Below are 19,687 nucleotides of genomic sequence, written 5' to 3' on the forward strand. Positions count from 1 at the left end.
AATAAACATGACATACCGCATTAACAAAACAATGAAAAAAAGTCATACAATCACTTCAACAGATGCAGAAAAATCATGACAGAGTTCAATACCTCTTCATGATAAAAACTCTTAATTAGGTATAGAAGTGATATGCCTCAACACAATAAAGGCCACATACAACAAACCCACTGCTAATGTAATACCAAATGGGGAAAAGCTGAAAGCCTTTTACTCTAAGATCTAGAACAGGATAAGGATGTTCCCTTTTGCCACTTTTATTCAACATAGTACAGGAAGTTCTAGCTAGAGCTATTAGGCAAAAGAGAAAAATAAAACATAATAGGAAAGGAGGAAGTTAAATTGTCTCTATTTGTAGATGATATGATCCTATATACAGAAAACCCTAAGGACTCCATCCAAAACTGTTACAACTAATAAAAAACTCAGTAAAGTTGCAGGATACAAAATCAACATAAAAAAAAGTAGTATCTCTATATGTTAATGGCAAACTATCCAAGGAGGTGTCAGATCTCTCAAATGAAAACTATAAAACGTTAATGAAAGAATTTGAAGAAGACACAAATGGGAAGATATGCATGTTCATGGATTGGAAGAATATTGTTATAATGTCCATATTGCCCAAAGTGATCCACAGATGTAATGCGATATCTATCAAAACACCAAAGACATTCTTCACAAAAGTAGATTAAAAACAATCCTCACATTCGTATGGAACCCCAAAAGACCCTGTATAGCCAAAGCAATCTTGAGCAAAAAGAGCAAATCTGGAGGCATCATACCATCTGCCTCCAAAATATATTACAAAACTATAGTAACCAAAATAACATGCTACTGGCATAGAAACAGACAACAGGCCAATAGAACAGAGAACGCGGAAATAAATCCATGCATATACAGTCAACTGATTTTTGACAAAAGTGCCAAGAACATATGTTGGGGAAAGGATAGTCTTTCTTCAATAGTGGTGCTGGGAAAACTGAATGAATATCTATATGTTGAAGAAAAACTAGATCTCCTGTCTCTCATCATATACAAGAATCAATTCAGAATGAGTTAAGGACTTAAATTCTAAGACTTGAAACTATGAAACTACTAGAAAACAAGATAGTGGAAATGCTTCATAACATTGGTCAGGACAAGGAATTTTTGAATAAGACCTTAAAAGCACAACCAAAAAGACCAAAAACAAATAAACGGAATTACAACTAAAGGCAAAGGAAATCATCAATAAAGAGACAATATTTGCAAAATATTTGCAATATTTGCAGAAATATTTGCAAAATATTTGCAATATTTGCAGAAATATTTGCAAAATATACATCTGACACATGGTTAATATCCAAAATATATAAGAAACTAAAACAACTCAATAGCAAAAAAACCCCCAAACAACCCAATTAAAATATAGGCAGAAGACCTGAACAGACGTTTCTCAAAAGAAGACATACACATAATATGTTCAATATTACTAATAATCAAGGAAATGCAAATCAAAACCACAGTGAGGTATTGCCTCATCCCAATTAGAATGGCTTATCAAGAAGGCAGAAGAGAACTTGTTGGCAAGGATGTGGACAAAAGAGAATCCTTTTATACTGTTGGTAGGAATATATAGAAAACAGTATGACGGTTCCTCAACAAAGCAAAAATAGAACTACCATAAGATCCAGCAGTCCTACTACTGGGCATGTACCCAAAGGAACTTAAATGAGTATGTTCAAGAAATATCTGCATTCCCATATTTACTGCAGCACTTTCCACAACAGCCAAGATATGGAACCAACCTAAGAGTCTACCAACAGAAGAATGGATAAAGAAAATTTGGTATAAAGTCACAATGGAATATTCTTCAGCTATTTAAAAAAAAAAAAAGAAATCCTACCATTTGCAACAATATGGATGAACCCAAAGGACATTATAAACCAGGAACAGAAAGACAAATACTGCATGATCTCACTCACATGCAGAATCTTAAAAAGCTGATCTCTTAGAAGTACAAAGTATAATGGTGGTTATTGGAGGCTGGGGTGTTTTTCAGGGAGAAGAAAATGGGGAAATCTTGGTCAGATGACATAATGACAGTTAGATAGCAGGAATAAATTTCAACAGCTCTATTGTACAGCAAGGTGACTATAGTTAATGACAATTTATTGTATTCTTAAAAAACATAAAATTTGTGGATACTATGTGCTATCACCACAAAAACAATAACTATGTGAGGTAGTACATTTGTTAGCTAGATTTAACCATTCCACAATGTATATATACTTCAAAACATCATACATCATGTTGTATACAATAAACACATAAAATGTTATCTGTACATTTAAAAAAAATTAAAAAAGCTTACATTATAGAAAAAAGAGAATACTTCTTTTAAAAGTATGCTTTTAGTTTAGTTTTACATTTCTGTCTCTCTTACCTCTTGATCTTTTTTAGTTTTTCTTTCTAGAGCCTCAAATTCATCCAAATCATTCTTTTCTTTTAATTTCAATTCCATTTCTTCTTTTTCTGTTCGTAGTTGTTCATAGTCTAATACCAGATTATCATAGTCAGCACGAAGTGAGTTCAACTCACTTTCTATATTCTCCTATTATAAACAAGAACAGATTTTCCAATCAGAAAATTCAAATATTTTTTGTTTCCTTAATAAAATTTGAATTATTTAAATAACTACTTTAACTTTGATTTGATATCTTTCTAAAGTTCTACATTTTGGCAAACTAGCTAACTTAGAATAGATTATTTTGAAAGAAGGAGAATTTTAAAAATATATCAATAAAGTGTATGTTTGCCTGTGCCTGACAGGGAATTTTGACCATAAGTCCTCAAGCTCCTCAGTAATAAAACTGATAATTGAATTCCCCAATCTAACTAACTCTTATTTTATGTCTCAGATGGTTCTGAATTCAAGAATGGAAACAGAGATATTATTTATTGACTTCTAAAGCTAATGACAACTGTGTTTTACTATAAAGAGGCCTATTTCTATTTTCTATATTATTATAAGAGAAGAGATAAACCATGAGTTAAAAAAATACTTTTTTACACCAGAGATTGTAAAAAAAACCCAAGAAACTTCTAATGTATGTATTAGGAACAAAAAAACACTTTATCAATAATACTTTATAGGAATTAACTAACAATAATAAGTAGTAATGCAATTATATTCTAAAATTCAAATGAAAATGTCTATTACTTTATACAACTATACATCTTTAAACACGAGCAATCTACAAAGTAAACACGGAATCTAAACTTACTGATGTATTCACCAAAATTACCTCTCCCTGATATATTATTCTATACATTATAAATGCCTGAGAATTGACACTTTTAAAATCAGTCTTGTTACCCTAATGAAGTTTACCAAGGCAAAACAGAAACTTTACAAACATTGTGAATACTAAGATCTGCTAGTAAAGAGCTAGAGGCAAAGGTTTACCTACTAGCACATGTCTGCCTTATGAAATTTTTAGCCTTCCTCTAGGTGCCTGATGGTTATAGAGTAGAAATGTAAAGAGAAAAGCCTTCATTAGAGCCAAAATCATTACTGAAATTAAATGAGAACAAGTAACAAAACCTAATAACAAAAGAATTTTAAAAAGAGTAAAAGCATTATATGCTGTAAAATACATTAAGTTACCTGATTTAGTAGCTTTGTTGCTGGATTCCATTCTATCTCACTTAATGTATCAAGAGTGTTACTGAAAACATCAGACTCTGAACAGACAGCTATAATTAGAGAAAAAAAAAATTTGTCCATGAACATGTTTACCAAATTTCCTAAGTCAAATTAAAGATTACTAAAAAAATTCTTATCAGAGATACTAAGAACTTCAAATTAACTACTATGTGCTCAGAGTATGAATACCAAAAGTACATTAATAGATATGGTCATTTATGTTATTGTATGAATTAAGATGATCACTGGTTGGAATTAGTGACACAATACAGGATCCTTAATGAAATATAGGTTAAAAGGACAAATTCTGAATTTGAGATTTGATCATTATAAGTAGATTTAAAATTCCCCCCCAACAGACTGTACTATTGAAGAAATAATTTTGAAACAGATTCCTATGTCAATGCCACTCTTTTAAGATTAGCAAAGGCAGATGCCATATAACTAACAATTTAATTGAATAATAATTAGAAAATAAAAACACCTGTCTCATGTGTGTTTCAACTAGTGCATCATTCTTAGGAGATTCAGAATAAAGAACTTATGATTACTTTCTATTTATTTATTTATTTATATTTGTTTGAGACAGAGTTTCACTCTTGTCACCCAGGCTGGAGTGCAACGGGTCTTGGCTCACTGCAAGCTCCGCCTCCCAGGTTCAAGCGATTCTCCTGCCTCAGCCTCCCAAGTAGCCGGGATTACAGGCGCCTGCAACCACGCACAGCTAGTTTTTTTGTATTTTTAGAATTACTTATTTTAAATCATAGTCTCCATTGTAATCACATATGAAATACACAGTATTTAAACATGTTTATCACATTAACTGAGCTATAAACATAGTTTCTCTTTATAAGGATGCTTTTATAATTAAACATAGTTCCACTTGAAAAAAGCACTCACATTCATCAATTTCTCGTAATAAATTTATAGAAAGCTTATGTGTTTTTGTTGTTATATTTGTTGGTATATTAAATTGATCTGCATAGTTTGAGTTCTTCATTTTGTTAATTTTGCCAAGGCACCAAGTAACTCTTCGTTTTCTTTTAGCCTAAAGAAGAAGAAATCAAAATTATGTCATATAGATCTGTATTCAAACATAATAAAACAAGGGAACTAGTTTCTATTTTTGAAAACCATTGACTTGGTAGAATTCTTATTAAGCCTAGTTTAAAATTTTATTAGTCTAAGGATATTGCTTAAAAAAAAAATCAAACTCTTGACTCTTTACTTCACTCTAACTACCATTTTCTTTTTTTCCTACTTTGTCCTCCTCATCATTTATCCACTCCTTCCTCAACACTTCAGGGACCCATCTCCTGGTTCTTACCTTACCCAGCTGCTGTCCTTACCACTCACTCTGCTTTGCTAGTTTCTCTTCCTGTGCCTGCCTCTTAAGTGTGTTTCTCCAGGTTTCATAGCCACCATTCTTCTCTTGACTCTTTACTGGGTGCAAGTATCATCTCATCTTATTTGACTCTCTCGGCAACCCTAGGGTTGTAATCACATCTGAAATACACAACCCTAAGGTTGTTGAGAGAATCAAATAAGATGAGATGATACTTGTATCGAGTATCAACCTTACTACATCTTTTTAACAGATGAGTTGGGTGCCCAACAAGTTTGGAGAAGTTGCATAAGGTTGTATAGCCAATTGGTGGCTGAGCCCATTGTCTATTACTTCAGAGCCTATCCATGCAACCATTCCGTCACATTGCCTCTTAAGATTACTTGTTGTCCACAGAATATACTGCATACTGTCATGCCTCTCTGAGTGCTGTCCTTCTGCTTGAAATGGCCAGCCCTTTCCACACCCTGCTCTGCAAAAGCCCCATCATATTCAAATCCTCGACTCCAATAACCTTCAGTTTAATGCCAGTTGCTACCAAAGCCACACCTGGACCTTGTCATTATCTGAAAGTCATAAACTAGACCTCTTGCTCTCATTGCCGTTGCTGTCCTTCCAAATCATTAATTTAGTTAATCCCACTATAGCTATTTAGCTCATCAGGGGCTATTTAGCTCTGTTCCCTTGTTGCATGACTTTTTTTTTTTTTTTTGCCATCTCCCTCTTGGTTCTCACCCTATCATCTTAGATTCCATAGATCACTGTAATCATGTTTGAAATTTGAGGTCAATGTTCTCAAATTATTTGACCCACTCTCTGTCCCTTACATGTACCCTACACGGCACACTCAAATGGCACTGTGTTCAAGACCTTTATCAGCCTCCTGAGCACTGCCAGAGCCACACAGCCAGAAGACCGGCTGACAAGATAAACTGGACCTTTAATGTTGCATGGCAATATTCCCTTCCCCCTTGTCAGCTTTCTTTTTCATTACCTACAAAGGCTAGCCTATTTCAAACCCTTAGTATCTCTGCAAACTTATGACTCTACCATCACCTGCCATCTCAGCAGAAGAATTAAACCTATTTCACAAAGAAAGTATAAACCTAAACTCCTAAGAGTACTACCTGCACAGAAGCCTATCCTTTCCTCCATGTTTGCTCCAATTCAAGAGGTATTTCTCCTATGTTAGTCCAATTCTTTCTACTATATTCAAGATTCCATCCATCTAGGCCACCTCAACACACTATAAGGTGGCTTTCATCCCCATCACTTAAATTACTTTTGCAAATGAGCTCTGTGTTTCTAAATGCAAATAATTTTTGTCCATCTTTATCTTATTTAACTTCTCAGCAGAATATGACACTGCTGACCACTACCTCCCTGAAATATTCTCTCCCCTTAGCTACCATATTCACTAGGTTTTATTCTTAACTGTACAGCTAAACCTGGGCTGCTTTATGGATTCTTCTTTCTCTGCCTTACCCAATTGGAGTTTTGCCTTCTGTCACTTTGCCTCCTGTTGCCTTCTCTCAACATGCAACCAGAACAAACTTTAATTTGGATCTGTAGTAGTTAATGCCCAAATTGATATTTATATCTCAAATCTTCTACCTCATATTCACACATTTGCATTTTCAACAGCCTGACATCTCAAACAAAAGAAATCCCAAATAAAACACCCACCATTTCCACTGCTCTTTATTCAGTGTGCCTTAACTCAACCAATATTGTTACCAGCTACCCATGAAGCCAAGGAATTGCTTGCAAGTCATTCCGGACACCTCCTTCTCCCTTTCTCTGCCCTCAACATCCAAACAATCACAAAGTCCTGCTAAGTTTACCTTCCAAACATTTCTCCAATTTATCCAATTCACTCCAACTCCAGAGCCACAATCTTTGCAGGCCCAAGCAATCTGATGTGCACAGTAGCTACATCTTTCTCAACTATAATTCTGATGTCACACACAAGGCTGTTCTTTGTTGTTAGCAAAACATCACATTCAAATCCCTCAAGGAGGTTTAAAACGCCCCTGCTACTAGAACATCTTAAGTGCAAGGAATGCATAATGTTTCTTCACAACTCCAAGCTTTTGTACATGTAGGTCTCTTTTGAAACATTCTTCTCTAGGTCTTTCATTGGGCTACTTCCTGCTCACCACTCAACCAATAGTTCTTGATTGTCTTCTATATACCTCTGTACATAATGCTTATTCACATTAACAATGTACATTAGTTGAGAATATGCTGTGTGGAAAGTGCTGTGTTGAGCTAATTCTACCTATTATCTCATTTAATTCTCACACAACACTTATGAGGTGAGTATCAAGCTATTCCACACTGCTACTTCCACAGGAAAAAGCAGCAAAGTGAATTCAAGAAATTGTCCAAGGCCAAGAGTCAGGAAATGACAGATTCAAATCCAGGAAGTCTAGCTCCAGAGGTCATTCTCTTATCCATGACACCCTCACACCCCAAAAAGTCTACTGAATAAATAAATTCCTACTCAATTAAAAACAAACAAAAAATCACACCAACAAAGTAAGAATTTTGTTCACTATGTTGTTTTTCTTTCACCAGAGTCTACATTGACACAATTATGTTGTTTTATATTCTACACCAATTTTCCTGAGATTAATATTTCTGTTTAAGTAGAAAATAATATTTCCACATATTCTAGAAACCTATGGCTTCCAATCACCCAGTTTCTCTAGAATTTATTAAGCAGAATATTGCAAATAAATTATTTAAATACATTCCAAACTTGTTGAATTAGAATCTCTACAAATAGGAATCAGAAATTGGCATTTTTAATGAATCTCTTAGGTACTATGAAACACAAAATCTTCTGGGTTTCTTGAATATACTGTATCAAAGGATAGAAAGTGCATACTATATAATAAACATATAGAAATACCAATTCTATTCTCTGTACATCAAGTTTAAGCTGTCATCTTTTAATTTTACCTTTAATTCCTGTTGCAACGTGAGGGAAGAAGAGGTCACCAGCATCCGTGTTAAGTTTTCAATTTTCTCATTCTGTACTTTCTGAAGCAAATCTTTTTCTTCCAAAAGTTGGGCCAATTGGTCTTTTTCCATTGCCTGAGCCCGCGTCTCTAAAGAAACCTATAGAATGCAATATTGGATTATGTTAATAATAAATGTGGCTAAGTTTTAAAACCTTAAAGTAGCATAAAAGAATAAAATATTAAATTTGTATATGAACTATAAGAATTTTAATTTCACTGAAATAAAATATACTCTAACTGTAGAACACCAAAATGCAGTTACCATAATCAATAATTTCTCAGACTTACAATAAAATACACATTTCTTCTCATGTAACTATTCTATATACCATGTATAAGACACCAATGCTGTTAATATAACTCTATTAATTGCCTAAGAAGATATGAATAGTCAGAAGTCATAAAACAAAGACTTGAATTCTGATAGTAAAGATAGAGATGTTCTCATAAGATTACCATTTGATATTTTAGCTCATTTTAAAAAAGATCCTTAATGCGTGATTTTTTACAAAATATGGGACCATGATGGTTAAAACAAACTAAAATGATAAGTAATTATGCTATATTATTAGATTGCTATCTAAGGGTTAGAAGAGGAATTCAGGATAACATGAAAACACAGAAGGTGGTTCTAAGTAACTCTGTAGTTTCTCTTTTTAATCGAATTCATATGTATTTGTGAAAAATTTTAAGAAATGTCTCTACTTGGCCCATTTGATAATCTCAGATTTTGCCCGTTGAAAATAAAAAACAAAATCTAAAATAATTTCAAGAACCAAATCTTACAATTTATAGTAAATTAAACTAAAATTTTTATGAGTGGATTTCTTCTTCTTTAAAAGTGATTAAAAACCTAAGTTGTAGCAACTCAGATATTCAGGAATGAAGAGTCTCTGAGCATTTGGGCAGGTCTCCATTCTAAATTGGTTCTTTCAATTTAATGAAATAAATGATTCATACATACCTCCTCTAATTGTTTTTTAAGATCCATTATTTCTTTTCTATACCTTTTCAGGAGAGCTTCATCAGTTGATACCTCATTAACATAAGGAGTATTCTTCATATATTTAGCAGTACTGGCAAACTGGAAAAAAAATACGAAAGTGCTAAGTGTTCAACACTTAAAAAAATTCGAATTTAATTAATAATATTTAGCTTTCTTATATTCAAGATTAAAAAAATCAATACTCTTTCTAGTTGGCTTAATACTTTTGAACAAAGGGAACATTCTATGTCCTTATAACAATGCTCTGTAACTTATCCTGGGTGATAGTCTTCGGGAGAATAAAAAAGATATATTGAGAGAACTTAAAAACATCAGCTTATTGGAATCTCATTTACCCCTCAAGGTCCAGTGCTAACGCCTCCTCTACTCTGAAGTTTTGCTTCTAGCCAAAAATATCTCTCCTTCCTTTAAACTCTATACTAGTTATTAACCACTTAACTACTAATCAAAGGCAATTATGTTGCAAGACAAGTGTTATGTGCCTTGTCACAGAATTCATTAATTCTGTTAAGCCAGGGACTCTAGTTTCTCTTTGCACCTCTGACAGTACCTTGATCTGGTGCTCAACAGCTATTTAAAGCAATGTTTCTCAGAGTATAAGTACCATAAGTAACTTTAGGTGGGTACACCAAGGTGACCATTAGATAACATTGAATCCTTCATTGAGAAAGCTACCCTACTGATATTTCTCATTTTTCCTTTCCTTTTTTTTTTTTTTGTTTTTTGTTTTGAGACATAGTTTCGCTCTTGTTGCCTAGGCTGGAGTGCAATGGCGCGATCTCGGCTCACCGCAACCTCTGCCTCCTGGGTTCAAGTGATTCTCCTGCCTCAGCCTCCCCAGTAGCTGGGATTACAGGCATGTGCTACCACATCTGGCTAATTTTGTATTTTTAGTAAAGACAGGGTTTCTCCATGTTGGTCAGGCTGGTTCCTTTCCTTTTTAAAATAGAAAATGTAGGCCTTAGGCTCAGAGAAAATGAAGGCAACAGTTAACTACCAGGAATTTCAGAATTATTTTGTTATACAGACAGACACACAATTTTTTTTGTTACCTTCTATTTGTGGCAAGTAATAATAGTTTCCCATTGATAGGACTAATATTAAAGTTTCCTTTTACAATAAATTAAGTACAAAAAGTGAGTTATTTTAAAAATATCAAGTCAATTTCAGTAAAATAGTGTTGGGTGTGGCAAAAATTATGAAGGTAAGATACAAATAATCGAAGTCTGGCAAAATTAAATTAAGAAATGCTATTTAGTAGACAACATATCGATTATAACAGGCGAGTTAATTAAAAAAAACTATGCTTAATTTTAGTAGGTAATGTTTTCTTCTTCAAGCTGATCTTCCCCTATATTAAGCTGAGATAAAAATCAAACTCACCTGGAGAGCAGTAAGTGTTTCATCAAAAGATACTGGAGTAATTGTGCAGATAATACGTGTCTTTGCATTTCCTCCCAAGGAATTCTGGAGAATTCGTGTTAACTTGCTATCTCGATAATTTATGAAACCACTTAGCAAGGAATAAGTTTACAGGAGAAAAAGATTGAGAACGTTTATATAATAAAGTAGTTGGTTTTTAATGCAGAACTCTTAAATCAGCCAGAGTTTCAAAAATTAGTTTACAAGTTATATGAGGCAGATTAAAACTACTAAAAAATATTTAAAACAGAAAGTAAATTCAGTAGATTATAATCATATGTATAAGTTTTTGAATATATGGAAGAAATCAGTACATTTGAGTGTCATCGAAATGTTGCAATGTTCAACCTAATGAAAAATATAAGAATCAGTAGGTAAGTGCACAACGGGATAAACTTACCCAACTTGTCCATCACTAAGTTTCTTGATCACTTGTCCCAAAATAAATAAGCTTCGATTTATATTACAGCCTTCCTTGAGCCGCACACCTGAATTTATTAAACAAATATGAAAACTAAACTTGACTCCTTTTCTAGATGATAAACTTATTTATCACTAAGTTAATGAGAGAAATTAGAGGGCAGATGCTAAAGTCTATGCTCTGGTTTAGACATGAGCCCATCTTTAATATCAGTGGTAGAAAGAGCTCTCTCCCTATTGGTCCCACTTCAAGTGAATCAGAAAGGTTATTACCTGAGAAAAATAGTAAAAAGAAAAAAATGAAGAGGGAGGGAAGAATGCAGGGAAAAAAAACCTGTTTCCTGAAAGAGCTTCTCTAGCTCTTCAGTTCAAATCAATTTTTTTCCAACATCTAAATATAGGCAACTATGAACTTACAACCAAATTAGCCTCTAATTTCTTATTTTTAAATTGTTAATATGCTCACACGGTTCAAAAAGTTTAAAAAAAAAGTACACTTTGAAAAAGCTCCCTTCCACTTTTATCCCCATTCAACCAGTTCCTATACCTCTACCAGGAAACCACTGTTATTAGTTTTTTTCTTTAGAGATTTTTAAAAATACAAGTTCGTATGTATTTATTTCCTTCCTTCTTCACTGATATCAATAGTAACAGTCCATACATACTATTTTGCACTTTGCTTTTTCTCACTTGGCAACATATCTTGGAAAAATTTCCATATCGGTAAACACTGATCTTTTTCATTCTTTTTTAAAGTATAAAATTCCATTTTACGGCTGCATCAGACTTCATTCACCCACCCCATCCCCTGTTGAAGGACATGTAGGTTTTCAGTCTACTGCCTATACAAAAAAAATTGTAAAAATAATTTTGAACAGATGTTATTTCACAGGTGCATTAATTAGCTATTGCTTTAACATTACTACCTAACCAACCGGCTAAAACAAGCATTTATTTTTTGTTCACAGGTCTGAGGATGGACTGGTTTGGTGGATGTAGGCTAGGCTCAGTTGAGTGGCTCTACAATAGGTTGCAGAATGAGCTCAAGTCTGTTGAACAAACTTCTAATCTTCCTTGGATCAGCAGCTCTTCTAATGGCAAGAGTGCAGGTGCAAGCTAAACCATTTAAGCATTATGAACTATTCATTTATATCCTTTGCCCAGTTTTTTGTTGGTTTCTTTTAAGCTTTTAAGGCATCTGGACTTTGTATCAGTTACAAAAGGGTTTTCCCACTGTAAGTTGACTTCCAACAATTTTTAGTTTTTTTATATTGAAATTTTTGAGCTACTTATAATGCATTCCTTGGTGTATGATATATGGATCCGACTTAATTTTTTTTCCCAAATGGCTATCAATTAATGAATAATCTATCTTTTCTTTACAAATTTGAAGGACCATCTTTATTGTATTCTAACTTCTGTATGTATTTGGGACTCTTGATGGATTTTCTATTCTATTTCACTGGGCTGACAATTCACACAGTTTTAATTACTATGGCATTATAATATGTTTTACTATCTTATAGTAAGATAGTAAAATCTTAAATTCCACTTTCTGCTTTTTGGAATTTTCCTGGCTACTCTTGTCTGTTTTTATGTTTCCATACAAATTTTAAAATCATCTTACCTAATTTAAACATGAAAATGTACTCTTGATAGTCTTATTAGGATTGTGTTAAATCTAGAAATTAACACAGAGGCCTGATATCCTTGTGATTTTGAATCTTTTCCATTTAAGTATGCTTCTCCATTTTTTCAAGTATTTGTTTGTGTCCTTCAAGTCTGATTTACAAGTTTTCTTAGGCCGGGTGTGGTGGCTCACACTTGTAATCCCAGAACTTTGGGAGGCCGAGGTGGGCGGGTCACTTGAGGCCAAGAGTTGGAGACCAGCCTGACCAACATGGCGAAACTCTGTCTCTACTAAAAATACAAAAATTAGCTGGGCGTGATGGTGCATGTCTGTAATCCCAGCTACTTGGGAGGCTGAGGCATGAGAATTGCTTGAGCCCAGGAGGTGGAGGTTGCATTGAGCTGAGATCGTGCCACTGCACTCCAGCCTGGGAGACAGAGTGAGAGTCTGCCTTAGAAAAAAAAAAAAAAAAAAGTTTTCTTTATATCAGTCTTGTACAAATCTTTGTTGAGTTTCTTCCTAGATATCACATCTTTTAGGTTATTATAAATGGAGTCTTTTTGTCTACTAAATATTTTAACTTGTTTTTATTAATATTTTAACTTTTAAAAATTAATATCTGCATATTAATTTTGTACCACATTATCTTTCTTAATTTCCTTATTTTGAAAGTTTAAATGGTTTTTATGGAATTCTCATGGGCTTTCCTGCTGTACAATCCCATCAATTGTATAATTTTCATTTTTTAATTGATGCTATTGTAGACTAAAATAAAAATTAAGCAGATACAGATGCTGATTTCTATGTTAAACTTTTATCAGAAAATCACAATTAATGATTCATTATTATTAATAATGAATATAATTACTTTATCAATTTCTAAAAATGCCTGGTAGTACTTTTTAAACCTGTAAAATAGGAAGACATTAAGACTAACATATTTCATGAGTTTTAATTACCTGCAGCGCCTGTTTGAGCAGCTCTTTCACTGCCTGCAAGATCAACCAAATTCTGTAAGATAGATAAAAATAAATCCTTAGGGCAGATAATTTGAAATAATAAAATTCAAACTACTGAAAGAACATTTTTAATACATGGTATATCTGAATATTCGATCTGTATCCATGTCTCCCATGCTACTGTTTAGGCATTCCCTTTTTTCTCTGAGTCAAACTGTTCTCTATCTGTTCCTTTCTTTATATCTTCCATAATGCCACCAGTATAGGTTCTGTTTCCTATACAAGGTCCAAAAACTTACTATGGCAAATATAATTCTTTATAAGCTGGCACTTGCACTGCTCCAACTTTGTATTTATCCATCCCTTATTCTTACCTCTAGCTGAACTACTCACTATTCCCCAAACACCCCATGTACTTCTACACCTCCAAGCACCAGCTTTTTGCTATTTCCTTTATTCAGTTAGTTCTAATGTTCTATTCTGTCCTTATTCTTTATTCAAGAACCAGGCACAAAGATTATCTCCTCAGCATAGCTTTGCCTACTTTATCCTTCCTCCCCGCCAGATTTCAGATGAACTGCTCCTTGAACTGCATAACCAGAAATCTTTATAAACATGACTTATAGATACGACTTACATTTATAGCACTTATTTTGTTGGGCTAGTCATGCATGCTAGCTGTACTATGCTGTAGCAATACCATGACTTTACTGTGGCATCTTTAAGAGCTGGACCTCTCTTTCATTTCACAAATATTACTGAAAAGAAGTGGCTGCTTATTATGCTCCAGGAAGTACATCAGGTGCTAGGGCTACAAATAAATAAGGTCTCTGCTCTCATGGAGCTTACATTCTACATAGAGGAGGAGGCTGGTAAGAAGAGATAAAAAGACAAATAAGAAACATGTTGTGATAAGTGTAACAGAGATTATTTAAATAGAGCTGGAAAAGGGGCCAGTAGCTTTAGGTTCATAGGACTGGATAGCAGTGGAAGGCTTGTCATTAAGCTGCGATCTGAATGACCTGAGAAGAGGAAGCTGGTCCCAAAAAGATCAAGGGAAACAGTAGTCTAGACAAAAAGAATAGCCAAAACACTTAGTCACAAAGCAGAATGTGCTCAGTGTGTTCAAAAAAATAGAAAAGGCAGTGTGGCACAGTTGGTGAAGTGAAGACAGGAAAAGACAGAATAAGAGAAGTAGACAGGGGCCAGATTATGCAGGACTTTTTAAGTGAGATCTAAAACTCTGAAATGTTTATATTCAATGAGAAGCCATTGCAGGGCTTTATGCAAGGGAGTAATAGAACCCTGCCTTGCTAGATTGGGGAAGTTCTCCTGGATAATATCCTGCAGAGTGTTTTCCTACTTTGTTCCATTCTCCCTGTCACTTTCAGGCACACCAATCAGACGTAGATTTGGTCTTTTCACATAGTCCCATATTTCTTGGAGGTTTGTTCATTACGTTTTATCAAATTCAGGAAATACAGAGAATGCCACAAAGATACTCCTCAAGAAGAGCAACTCCAAGACACATAATTGTCAGATTCACCAAAGTTGAAATGAAGGAAAAAATGTTAAGGGCAGCCAGAGAGAAAGGTCAGGCTACCCACAAAGGGAAGCCCATCAGACTAACAGCTGATCTCTCAGCAGAAACTCTACAAGCCAGAAGAGAGTGGGGGCCAATATTCAACATTCTTAAAGAAAAGAATATTCAACCCAGAATTTCATATCCAGCCAAACTAAGCTTCATAAGTGAAGGAGAAATAAAATACTTTACAGACAAGCAAATGCTGAGAGATTTTGTCACCACCAGGCCTGCCTTACAAGAGCTCCTGAAGGAAGCACTAAACATGGAAAGGAACAACCGGTAATAGCCACTGCAAAAACATGCCAAATTGTAAAGACCATTGAGGCTAGGAAGAAACTGCATCAACTAACAAGCAAAATAATCAGCTAACATCATAATGACAGGATCAAATTCACACATAACAATATTAACTTTAAATGTAAATAGGCTAAATGCTCCAATGAAAAGACACAGACTGGCAAATTGGATAGTCAAGACCCATCAGTGTGCTGTATTCAGGAAACCCATCTCATGTGCAGAGACACACATAGGCTCAAAATAAAGGGATGGAGGAAGATCTACCAAGCAAATGGAAAACAAAAAAAGGCAGGGGTTGCAATCCTAGTCTCTGATAAAACAGACTTTAAACCAACAAAGATCAAAAGAGACAAAGAAGGCCATTACATAATGGTAAAGGGATCAATTCAACAAGAAGAGCTAACTATCCTAAATATATATGCACCCAATACAGGAGCACCCAGATTCATAAAGCAAGTCCTCAGAGACCTACAAAGAGACTTAGACTCCCACACAATAATAATGGGAGACTTTAACACCCCACTGTCAACGTTAGACAGATCAACGAGACAGAAAGTTAACAAAGATATCCAGGAATTGAACTCAGCTCTGCACCAAGCAGACCTAATAGACATCTATAGAACTCTCCACCCCAAATCAACAGAATATACATTCTTCTCAGCACATCACACTTATTCCAAAATTGACCACATAGTTGGAAGTAAAGCACTCCTCAGCAAATGTAAAAGAACAGAAATGATAACAAACTGTCTCTCAGACCACAGTGCAATCAAACTAGAACTCAGGATTAAGAAACTCACTCAAAACCGCTCAACTGCATGGAAACTGAACAACCTGCTCCTGAATGACTACTGGGTACATAACAAAATGAAGGCAGAAATAAAGATGTTCTTTGAAACCAATGAGAACAAAGACACAACATACCAGAATCTCTGGGACACATTTAAAGCAGTGTGTAGAGGGAAACTTATAGCACTAAACGCCCACAAGAGAAAGCAGGAAAGATCTAAAATTGACACCCTAACATCACAATTAAAAGAACTAGAAAAGCAAGATCAAACACATTCAAAAGCTAGCAGACGGCAAGCAATAACTAAGATCAGAGCAGAACTGAAGGAGACAGAGACACAAAAAACCCTTCAAAAAATCAATGAATCCAGGAGCTGGTTTTTTGAAAAGACCAACAAAATTGATAGACCGCTAGCAAGACTAATAAAGAAGAAAAGAGAGAAGAATCAAATAGACCCAATAAAAAATGATAAAGGGGATATCATCACCGATCCCACAGAAATACAAACTACCATCAGAGAATACTATAAACACCTCTATGCAAATAAACTAGAAAATCTAGAAGAAATGGATAAATTGCTGGACACATACACCCTCCCAAGACTAAATCAGGAAGAAGTGAATCTCTGAATAGACCAAAACAGGCTCTGAAATTGAGGCAATAATTAACAGCCTACCAACCAAAAGAAGCCCAGGACCAGATGGATTCACAGCCGAATTCTACCAGAGGTACTAGGAGGAGCTGGTACCATTCCTTCTGAAACTATTCTAATCAATACAAAACAAGGGAATCCTCCCTAACTCATTTTATGAGGCCAGCATCATCCTGAAACCAAAGCCTGGCAGAGACACAACAACAAAAGAGAATTTCAGACCAATACCCCTGATGAACATCGATACAAAAATCCTCAATAAAATACTGGCAAACAGAATCCAGCAGCACATCAAAAAGCTTATCCACCATGATCAAGTGGGCTTCATCTCTGGGATGCAAGGCTGGTTTAACATACAAAAATCAATAAACGTAATCCAGCCTATAAACAGAACCAAAGACAAAAACCACATGATTATCTCAATAGATGCAGAAAAGGCCTTTAACAAAATTCAACAACACTTCATGCTAAAAACTCTCAATAAGTTAGGTATTGATGGGACGTATCTCAAAATAATAACAGCTATCTATGACAAACCCACAGGCAATATCATACTGAATGGGCAAAAACTCGAAGCATTCCCTTTAAAAACTGGCACAAGACAAGGATGCCCTCTCTCACCACTCCTATTCAACATAGTGTTGGAAGTTCTGGCCAGAGCAATCAGGCAGGAGGAGGAAATAAAGGGTATTCAATTAGGAAAAGAGGAAGTCAAATTGTCCCTGTTTGCAGATGACATGATTGTGTATCTAGAAAACCCCATCGTCTCAGCCCAAAATCTCCTTAGGCTGATAAGCAACTTCAGCAAAGTCTCAGGATACAAAATCAATGTGCAAAAATCACAAGCATTCTTATACACCAATAACAGACAAACAGAGAGACAAATCATGAGTGAATTCCCATTCACAATTGCTTCAAAGAGAATAAAATACCTAGGAATCCAACTTATAAGGGATGTGAAGGACCTCTTCAAGGAGAACTACAAACCACTGCTCAAGGAAATAAAAGAGGATACAAACAAATGGAAGAACATTCCATGCTCATGGGTAGGAAGAATCAATATCGTGAAAATGGCCATACTGCCCAAGGTAATTTATAGATTCATTGCCATCCCCATCAGCTACCAATGACTTTTCTTCACAGAACTGGAAAAAACTACTTTAAGGTTCATATGGAACCAAAAAAGAGCCCGCATTGCCAAGTCAATCCTAAGCCAAAAGAGCAAAGCTGGAGGCATCATGCTACCTGACTTCAAACTATACTACAAGGCTACAGTAACCAAAACAGCATGGTACTAGTACCAAAACAGAGATATAGACCAATGGAAAGGAACAGAGCCCTCAGAAATAATGCCACATATCTACAACTATCTGATCTTTGACAAACCTGATAAAAACAAGAAATGGAGAAAGGATTGCCTATTTAATAAATGGTGCTGGGAAAACTGGCTAGCCATATGTAGAAAGCTGAAACCAGATCCCTTCCTTACACCTTATACAAAAATTAATTCAAGATGGATTAAAGACTTAAATGTGAGACCTAAAACCATAAAAACCCTAGAAGAAAACCTAGGCAATACCATTCAGGACATAGGCATGGGCAAGGACTTCATGTCTAAAACACCAAAAGCAATGACAACAAAAGCCAAAATTGACAAAATGGGATCTAAGTAAACTAAAGAGCTTCTGTACAGCAAAAGAAACTACCATCAGAGTGAACAGGCAACCTATAGAAAGGGAGAAAATTTTTGCAATCTACTCATCTGACAAAGGGCTAATATCCAGAATATATAAAGAACTCAAACAAATTTAGAAAAAAAAAAAACAAACAACCACATCGACAAGTGGGCGAAGGATATGAACAGACACTTCTCAAAAGAAGACATTTATGCAGCCAAAAGACACACGAAAAAATGCTCATCATCACTGGCCATCAGAGAAATGCAAATCAAAACCACAATGAGATACCATCTCACACCAGTTAGAATGGCAATCGTTAAAAAGTCAGGGAACAACAGGTGCTGGAGAGGATGTGGAGAAATAGGAACACTTTTACACTGTTGGTGGGACTGTAAACTACTTCAGCCATTGTGGAAGACAGTGTGGTGATTCCTCAGGGATCTAGAACTAGAAATACCATTTGACCCAGCCATCCCATTACTGGGTATATACCCAAAGGATTATAAAATCATGCTGCTATAAAGACACATGCACACGTATATTTATTGTAGCACTATTCACAATAGCAAAGACTTGGAACCAACCCAAATGTCCAACAATGGTAGACTGGATTAAGAAAATGTGGCACATATACACCATGAAATTCTATGCAGCCATAAAAAATGATGAGTTCATGTCCTTTGTAGGGACATGGATGAAGCTGGAAACCATCATTCTCAGCAAACTATCGCAAGGACAAAAAACCAAACACCGCATGTTCTCACTCATAGGTTGGAACTGAACAATGAGAACACGTGGACACAGGAAGGGGAACATCACACACCGGGGCCTGTTGTGGGGTGGGGGGAGGGGGGGATAGCATTAGGAGATATACCTAATGTAAATGACGAGTTAATGGGTGCAGTATACCAACATGGCACATGTATACATATGTAACAAACGTGCATGTTGTGCACATGTACCCTAAAACTTAAAGTATAATAAAAAAATAAATAAAAATAAAAAAACGTAAAACTGGAAAAAAAAAGAGAACCTTGCATAAAGCTCAGCAATGACTCTCACAATGGATCCACTATGACTACTGGGTGGAGGATGGATTGGGAAGGGGCAAGAGCAGCTGCAGGCAGCCCCATCAGGCAGCTGGGGCAGGAATCTCGGTGAGAGATAATACCAGCTTGGGTTAGG

At 35.2% G+C, this 19,687-nt stretch overlaps 1 protein-coding gene across 17 annotated transcripts in view; it reads right to left on the reverse strand.

Moving 5' to 3' along the window:
• The window catches only part of CENPE (centromere protein E), a 92,533-nt gene that overhangs the window by 66,500 nt on the left and 6,346 nt on the right, over positions 1–19,687 (reverse strand). For all 17 annotated transcript variants that reach the window (XM_047449534.1, XM_047449541.1, XM_047449533.1 and 14 more), the window contains exons 9-16: positions 13,500–13,551; positions 10,891–10,978; positions 10,452–10,581; positions 9,027–9,146; positions 8,001–8,159; positions 4,589–4,736; positions 3,650–3,738; positions 2,426–2,593 (exon numbers count right to left, since the gene is read on the reverse strand). In XM_047449534.1, the coding sequence (XP_047305490.1) occupies positions 2,426–2,593; positions 3,650–3,738; positions 4,589–4,736; positions 8,001–8,159; positions 9,027–9,146; positions 10,452–10,581; positions 10,891–10,978; positions 13,500–13,551 (954 nt within the window). The remainder of the gene's footprint in view (positions 1–2,425; positions 2,594–3,649; positions 3,739–4,588; positions 4,737–8,000; positions 8,160–9,026; positions 9,147–10,451; positions 10,582–10,890; positions 10,979–13,499; positions 13,552–19,687) is intronic.

The sequence above is a fragment of the Homo sapiens genome, chromosome 4 (genome assembly GCF_000001405.40).
Source record: "Homo sapiens chromosome 4, GRCh38.p14 Primary Assembly".
In the NCBI taxonomy this organism is placed as follows: Eukaryota; Metazoa; Chordata; class Mammalia; order Primates; family Hominidae; genus Homo; species Homo sapiens.